The following is an 8,365-nucleotide window of genomic DNA, read 5'->3' on the forward strand; positions in this document are numbered from 1 at the left end:
CAATTTTTATTCTATTTTTAGGTTAAAGCCAAGTAACTCGCTTTTCCATTTTATCTCTTTTTAATTAACTTTTTTGCAGTGAATTTAGGAGGACTTTTACTCCAAGCACTCCTGGAATATTGGCCTAGAACACATGTGAATCCAATGGATGAAGAGGAAAATGAAGTAAACCATGGTTAGTTTTTATATTCAGATAGTTGCATAAAAAGTTAGAGGTACTTACTTAAAAGGTACTTACTAAAAGGTACTTACTTAAACCGTTAGCTAAAATATTTGTGGTGTACTCAGTTTATTGTCCTCTCTTCCATATCTCAAAGTAGGAACATCCATCCAGTCTTAACTGAGACTGAGATTCCAAAAGAGCAGACCACCTTATGATATGGCTTTTAGTGAGACTGCTCAAGATAAATAAAATACTCTATATTCAGATGACTTTTGTCTTAAAATGAGGCACCTTAACAGACTTATTTCCAAAATATTCTTCAAGGTACCTCTGATCTTTTGGATTAACCTCCAAAGCTAGGTAGTTAGCTGCATCAGAAAGCCAGGTTTGTCATTGCATAGTCACTCTTCATGTTGGGCTGAAATGTTGGTATTTCCTAGTCTCATGGCCTACCTGATTTTGACTCTGTTTCAAAAAAAAATTCAAATTCCAACTCAGAAGTGACAGGGCATATGCTCAAGCATGTGTAAAGAATTAATGTCACTGAGGACATCTGAAACGTGTGTGTGCCATAGGCAGTGGCAGTAACGTTCCCTGAGCAGCAGAGGAGAACATGTTTTGAATATATGCATTTGGCTCAGTTTGATCAAAGGAAGGGGAAACAAGAACTTAGAATTTCACATCCTCATGTGTAACCTACAGCTGGTTGAGGAATCATTGAGTCCCATCGACTGAGGCTTACTCTGCTGAAGATTCTCTGCTGGCCACCAGGAGTGAGCAACAATGGCGAGTACCTCCTGCCAGGGACTTTGTTCTGGCTGTCAGATTCACCCATAATGATATGTGGAATTTAAATCTCTCACATGAGGATGACATGCTTCCTTGAAAACCAGTCTTCTGATGTTCCTGTCAGAGAGAGGGTGCTGTTGCCCCACCCATGGTGGCTTTTCTTTTACATCACCTGACACACTTTGATCCCTGTCAGAATTGTACAGTGGACTTTGAGCTAAAGAAACTGATGGAAAAATCTTTCCACAGAGGGTCAAGAAAGCTAGGTTCTGGGGTGGGCTCTGCTGCTTAACAGCTATGTTGCTGTGGGCAAATCATTTCCAGTTAGATGGGATACTCTCAGCCACCCAAATAAGCAATAAGGATTAAGTTATCAAAACAGTGGTATAGTCATGCACCCTTTGGATCTAGGCTTTGGGTGAGGAGTATAAGGAAGACATCACCAGAAATCACGTCATCCTTAACATCAGACTGCATGGGAAAGGTAGGGCAGGGCATGGCTACTTCCTCATCCAGAGCTCAGACCACAGCACCTGCAGCATACTCAGTGGACACTCTGGAGTTGTTCAGATGGTGCTTGGTGAGCAGCTCTACTATTCAGGGGCCCTTACCAAGTTTCAGGTGGGGGTACTAAAGACACATGGGTATGGTCCCTGTCCTTCAGGAGCTGATGTTCTGGTATGGCAGAGAGTTACTTATGGAAAGCATTCTGAGATAGAAGGGTGCTAGGAGAGAGGTTCCACAAATGCTATAGGATTTCAGGGGGTCAGATGCTTCCAGTTTGATGAGGAAAGTGTCATGAATGAATTGGCACTTGAGTTGGTATCACCCACCTGTGCTGGGTCAAAAGTTTATGAAGAAAGCAGAATGGAGCTAGGCGTGATGGCTCACACCTGTAATCCCAGTGCTTTGGGAGGCCTCTAATATTTGTTGACAGTGATTTTGACGTCTGTGCTTGTTGGGTCATTTACTACTTGATGGCTTATGTTTAGGCTGCCCTGCCCAGCAGCCTTGAACCCAGGAGTTTGAAACCATGCTGGGCGATATAGCAAGATCCTGTCCCTACAAGAAATGTAAACAATTAGCCAGTTGTGGTGGTGTGTGCCTATAGTTCCAGCTACTCAGGAGGCTGAGGTGGGAGGATCACTTGAGCCAGGGGAGGTTGAGGCCGCAATGATCTGTGATCACACCACTGCACTCCAGCCTGGGCAACAGAATGAGACCCCGTCTCAAAGAAAAAACAACAGTGGAAAGGAAATCTGCAGAGAACAATAAAAGCAAAATTGTGGACTCCTTGAGGATTTTTTCACAAATGCTTCTGTCTTTAGTTATGGCTGCCATTAAATGTAATTTTTTTTTCCTCAAGAAATTTTTCTGAGCTTGGTGTTCTACAAAAAACAAAAACAAAAAAACTCTAGATCTTCGTTTATATACAGGCTGTCCTAGACTTCCTTGTGGCTGAAGTAGCTGGTTATGTTTTTGTTCTGAATCTCAAACATTAATCTCTTTTATTAAAATCCTCTAAAATACAGTCATTTTTTCCATGAAATAGACCACAAGTTGCTGTGTTTCTTATTTTCAGAAATTTAACTTGTTTTTAACCTTTATTTCTAACTCTGGTGGACTTAGAGGACATTTGAATTTAATCTTGCAATGTTTGAAGCTTGTGGGAGTAAAATGTTTAGAATCTGTATTTTTAGCACTAACTCTGATATTAACACCACCTGCATCTTTTCCTAGTAAATGGGGAGCAGGAGAACCGAGTGCAGAAGGGAAATGGATATTTTCAAGTGCCCCCACATACACCCGTGATCTTTGGTGAAGCTGGAGGTCGCACACTGTTCAGGTATGGGTAAGAAAGACAAGAGGTTCTGCCTGAGAAGGTATCCCATTTGCTAAGAAGTGTCGACTCAAACTCAGTATTTCGATATTAGAAATAGTTTATTATTAAATTCTAGGGATGCCAGGGATTGGAAGCATCCCATGTCCATGAGATAGTGAAATGTCTGCTGCTGTTAGACCACATTCTAATTGGGAGGAGAAACTCTAGTGTTCGAATGAGGTAGAATACTTTGCCTCGAAGCAGCTTCTCTATTGGTTTCTGTAGGTAATTCTCACTTTCCTTCACTTTGCCCGTGTGACTGCAAGGGCCAAGCAACAGATGATACCACTAGAATTCCCTGCCCACAGAAGAGCTTCAGAGTACATTACATTACTTTTCTTAGGCTGATCCAGCCAAGATGAGCTGGGCTGCTCCTGGGAACTGTTGAGGCTGACACTGACACTGCCTGGGGTGCCAGACAGTTATGTGTGGGGCCCTTCAGGGAAGGGCTGGACTGGTTCACCTCCAAGTTGCTAGCAAGGTCCTGGTAGAGCCGGGGGAGAGCTTACTAGTCTATAGGTGCCAGAAGAAAGAAAGAATAAGACATGCTTGTCTTATTCTTGAGTGCAGGATTATCTATCTTTCTGATAGTTTCCTGAGTGGTTACCAGAAATATTCTGACTTCCACTGTGTGTGAAAGTCTCTGCCATGCACTGTGGCACTAGCTGGGGACCTTTACTGGGTGCTTTGCTTGCACCCAGGTTTCCTGTCATCACCCAAGGACTCCAAGAAGCAGCTGTAGTGTATGCCTGGCCTTGGAATCTGGGGGCCTGATTTTAGGGCCTGCTTTCCCTTTTAGCTGAGTGAGTCATTCTTCCAGGCTGTACTTTTATTTCCTCAGCTGTCAAGTGGGGGTTATCCTACATGAAAACCATGAGGGTTCCTCCCGCTAATATTTGTTGACAGTGATTTTGACATCTGTGCTTGTTGGGTTACTTACTACTTGATGGTTTATGTTTAGGCTGCTCTGCCGAGATTCCGGGGGTGAGACTGAGTCTATGCTTCTTAATGAAACAGTGCCACAATGGGTAATTGACATCACTGTGGATGTAAGTATCCTCCACTCCCACTTTGCTCTTTTATTTTTTTGTAACTCATGAAATTAAGAACTGCTTTAGACATTATAATTTTAAACCTTAATAAAAGCTAGACTCCCAAGTGGAATCCCCATCTGCTTCCTTGCAGTTCCAAAGTTGCAGAAATAGTACTGATAATTATTTATCTATCTAGCTTTGTTGGTTTTTAATTATAAAAATAATATATGCTTATTCAACAAAATAATAAATGAATGAAGCTCTCATCTTCCCCAAGCATTCATTCTTGCCCATTCACTCCCTATCCTTCCTCCCAGAGGTAACAACTATTAATAAATTAATGCATAGCCTTCAGTACTTTTTTCTTTGCATACAAGCATATATTATTTGTGTACATAGATGTGTCTACAGTTCATTTTATATTGCACAAAATCTCTTATACTGTTCTGCAACTTTTTTTTCACCTAAAAAAATGTATCCTGGACATCTTTTCATGTCTGTACATCTTTTCATGTCTGTACATGTGAATCATTCCTTTTTAATGACTGTGTAAGATTCTACTGTATAAATGTACCATAATTTATTTAATCAGTCCCCTATTAATGGACATTTAGGTTGTTTCCAATGTTTTCTATTACAAATAGTGCTGCAGTGAACATCCTTGTACATATATCTTTGTGTGCTTTTTAGGATAAATTCCTAGAAGTGGAATTGCTGGATCCAAGGTTATGCACATTTTAAATTTTGATAGATACTGCCAAATTGCCCTCCACAAAGGCTGTAGTAGTCTACATTCTCACCAACAGTGTATGAGTGCCCATTTCCCCACACCTGCACCAACACTGGATACTTCTAATCTTTGCTAAAAAATAGGCAAATAGTATCTCATTATTTTTATGTGGATTAAAAACAAATTAATAGTGAGGTTAAGCATCTTTTCATATTGGCCATTTGTTTTTCTTCTGTGAATTACCTGTTTGTATTCTTTACCCATTTTTCTATTGGGTCATTTTTCTTACTGATTTGTGGGGTGGTGGTTTATATTGAATATTAACCCTTTAACTATTATCTGTGTCTCAATTAAATTTTCACTTTGTTCCTTTTGCCAGGTGAAAAGTTTTACTTTTTATATAATCAAATTGATCCTTGATGGCTCTTAGTTTCATGTCTTGTTTAGGTATTTCCTACTCCAAAGTAACAAAAATATTCTCCTATATTCTCTTCTAGTTCTTTTATGATAATTATGTCTAGCTCTCTAATCTATTAGAATTTAGTCTTCTGTTTGGTGTGAAGTAGGATTTAGACTTTTTCCAAAGGGACAGCTAGTGTGCTAGCACAATTTATTGAAAATCTGTCCTTTTTCTACTTATCTGGGATGCTATGTTTATCATGTACTAAATTTCTGTATACACATGGGTCTGCTTCTAGACTCTCTTATGTACTGTTGGTCTATTTTGTATCTTTCTAAAGCCATATGAAAAGGAATTTAATCTTTAGAACCTTCAGAAACTTTATTTTCTGTCCCGGATATACCTCTAAGACTTAAAGCCAATGTGACACCTGATGGATATTCCATGGTCTTCTCTATGCCTGAGCACCCCATAAGCCACTAATTTCTTTGAGTGTGAAACTCACCTGGGACGCATTGCTGACTTTAGCCCTGTGGCTTATTCTTGAGAGGAGACATCCAGACAGGATGTGACATGAAGGCTTGGAGGGGATTAATACCCTGAGAAAAGATGACCACGTAATTTTATCCTTCATCTAAGAATGTGGTTTACTTCATGGTAGACATCTGGGTTCTTGGCTGAAGTTTCCACTCTTTCTTAACACCTCAGACCTCACTGTGATGTCAGAGGGAAAGAAAATGGGAGGACTTTGATTGGCCTTTTCAGTTGGATGATGGGCCTCACCAGCACAGAATGTGTGGCTTTGCTCAAAGGTGAATGCTGTGGGTTTCTCTCAAGACACTTAAGTTTTTGTTTGGGCCTTTAGGTATCAACTCCAATATTTTAATGTAGAATTGAGATTCTGGTTTGTATGGCTTAAAAAATTAAAGTTTGTTTCCCTTTAATACCTTGTACTGTTATCTAAGAAGAGCCATGCTACAATTTCATATTACCTCTAATGTTACATATATTTTTCTGATGAATTTTCTCGAAGGCTGACTTAGGTAATTTGATAGCTTACTATACATTTCATAGAAAGTCACTTTTAATTGTAAGATAATTATTACTTGCAAGTCATGTTTTCCTATTAACATTATTTTCATTTATCAACTAATAGAAACTGTTATACCTTTTTAACTTTTACTGTTTCAGAAAAATATGCCCAAATTCAACAAAATTCCTTTCTACCTCCAACCTCATGCATCTTCAGGAGCAAAAACCTTAAAAAAGTAAGTAAATATATGGTTTCTTGATCTAATTAACTACTAGAGAGAATTCCTTTTCCTTATGATTGCTTTTATAGCAAAGGAAGCAAATACCAGATCTAAGGCTGATTTTATAATATTCAAAGTTTATACAATTAAACCACTTACCAGGTACCAACTTTGGCCGATTACAGGTGTTCAAAAATAAATAAGGCCAGGTACAGTGGCTCACGCCCATAATCCCAACACTTTGGGAGGGTGAGGTGGGAGGATTAATTGAGGCCAGGAGTTTGAGACCAGCCTGAGCAACGTAGTGAGACTCCTGTCTCTACAAAAGATTTAAGTAAAAAAATTAGCTGGGCATGGGAGCACACGCTTGTAGTCCAAGCTAGCCAGGAGGCTAAGGCAGGAGGATCATCAGAAGTTTGAGGCTGCAGTGAGCAAAGATCATGCTACTGCACTCCAGCTTGGGCAACAGAGAGAGACCCTGTCTCTAAGAAAAAAATGATAAATAAAACACACATTTTGTCTGTTGCCTTAATTCACAGTTTAGGACCCAACCTGTATATAATAGTTGTTTTTATGGATACTTAAGGAATAATGAGAGTGAGAGAAATAAATGAGCTTTTGGCTGGAGCTTCCCAGTAAGGCTTCTTGAAGGACGTGGAATTTGAGTTGGACATGTAATGATTGGTAGAACTTCAAAAGATAGATATTCCAAGTCCAGGACACAGTGTGATCAGGGATGTGGAAGTGGGAGCATGCATAAGATAGTGGAAAGTAACGTGAGGACCCATGCACCTGCAGCATGGGATGGAGGGGCAGCAGGGGGATATTAGGAGGTAAATTGGAAAAGCAGTTAAAGGTTTTGTTGATGTTGGATTTGAATGCCAAGCCATAGAGCGTGCAGTGACTAAACACCAGAAACTTTTGAGCCAATGTGGGATATGGTCCAGGGAGACCCAAGAGAAGAATTTTAGTAGTGTAGTAATGGGATGCTAAACTATGAACAATATGTATTCTAGCAAATAAAATAAAAAAAATTTTTAAACCTTTTTATTACAGAGATTTCCAAACTTATATAGAAAGAAGCTAGTGAGCCCCCATCGTCCCATCAGATAGCTTCAGTAATTATCAATACCTTGCTAAACATTTTGCTTCACCTATACCTCTACCTGCCCTCCCACCCATCTCTGTCTACACACACACACACACACACACACACACACAATTATTTTAAAGTGAGTCCTAGACATCAGTTCAGATAGATTTAACAACTGAAGTTCAAATGATTTTCAGAGCGTAGGCCTTAGTTTTTTGGTATAATAGTTATTGACTGTTATCAGAGATACAGAAGTAGGGTGTTGATGAGTCTAGTTTGGGACATACAGAGTTTGAGGTGCCTGTAGGACATCCAACTGAAGATACCCAACCAGCTGTTGGGTTTGTGGTTTAGAAGAGAAGGTTGAGACTCAAGGTCTAGACTCAGGCATTGTCTGCTCACAGGTGCTAGCTGAAGGCATGGCAGTGGGGAGGAGAGCCCAGGGAAAATTGAGCACTAAGAGTGTCGGACCCTGGTAAGCACTGGGAGCTGCCTGCCTTTCCAGAATTATTTAGTTTGCCCAGGTTCTGGGAAAGTATTCAAGGGAATAAAACCCAGAAGGCTACTATGTATGTATATGTAAATGTTTTTGTTTGTTTTTCTGAGATGGAGTCTCACTCTGTCGCCCAGGCTAGAGTGCAGTGGCGTATCTTGGCTCACTGCAGCCTCTGCATCCTGAGTAGCTGGAATTACAGGCGTGCACCACCATGCCCAGCTAATTTTTTGTATTTTAGTAGAGACGGGATTTCACCATGTTGGTTAGCCAGGCTGGTCTTGAACTCCTGATCTGAAGTGATCCACCTGCCTTGGCCTCCCAAAGTGCTGAGATTATAGGCGTGAGCCACCACACCTGGCCTGTATATGTCAAGTTTTAAGAACACATATTAATCTCATTTAGTTGTACATAAACTGTGTCTTAGAAGGACACTGTAGAAAATCTTTCCGCAGCTCTAAAAATGGATTAAGGTAATGACTAAAAACATTTATTGGTTTATTTTTCATCTTTAAAATGTTTGCATCA

General features: G+C 40.0%; 1 protein-coding gene across 11 annotated transcripts in view, besides 1 other annotated feature; it reads left to right on the forward strand.

The window, feature by feature from the left end:
• The window catches only part of WDR48 (WD repeat domain 48), a 44,649-nt gene that overhangs the window by 33,420 nt on the left and 2,864 nt on the right, over positions 1–8,365 (forward strand). For 10 of the 11 annotated variants that reach the window (NR_144400.2, NR_144399.2, NM_001346225.2 and 7 more), the window contains 4 exons: positions 80–175; positions 2,693–2,798; positions 3,796–3,883; positions 6,190–6,266. Coding sequence is in view for 8 of the 11 variants with exons in the window: in NM_001346225.2 (NP_001333154.1) it covers positions 80–175; positions 2,693–2,798; positions 3,796–3,883; positions 6,190–6,266 (367 nt within the window). In the remaining 3 variants the exon portion in view is untranslated. Of the gene's footprint in view, positions 1–79; positions 176–865; positions 950–2,692; positions 2,799–3,795; positions 3,884–6,189; positions 6,267–8,365 lie in introns of all 11 variants that reach the window. The other variant, NR_144401.2, reaches the window with a different exon arrangement.
• Positions 956–1,015: an enhancer, noted in NCBI's record as "active region_19690". NCBI's record gives its function as "activates an Ori minimal core promoter by ATAC-STARR-seq in GM12878 lymphoblastoid cells {active_cell/tissue: GM12878}" and the evidence as "EXISTENCE:reporter gene assay evidence [ECO:0000049][PMID:35858748]".

This window comes from Homo sapiens, chromosome 3 (genome assembly GCF_000001405.40).
Source record: "Homo sapiens chromosome 3, GRCh38.p14 Primary Assembly".
NCBI classification, from domain to species: Eukaryota; Metazoa; Chordata; class Mammalia; order Primates; family Hominidae; genus Homo; species Homo sapiens.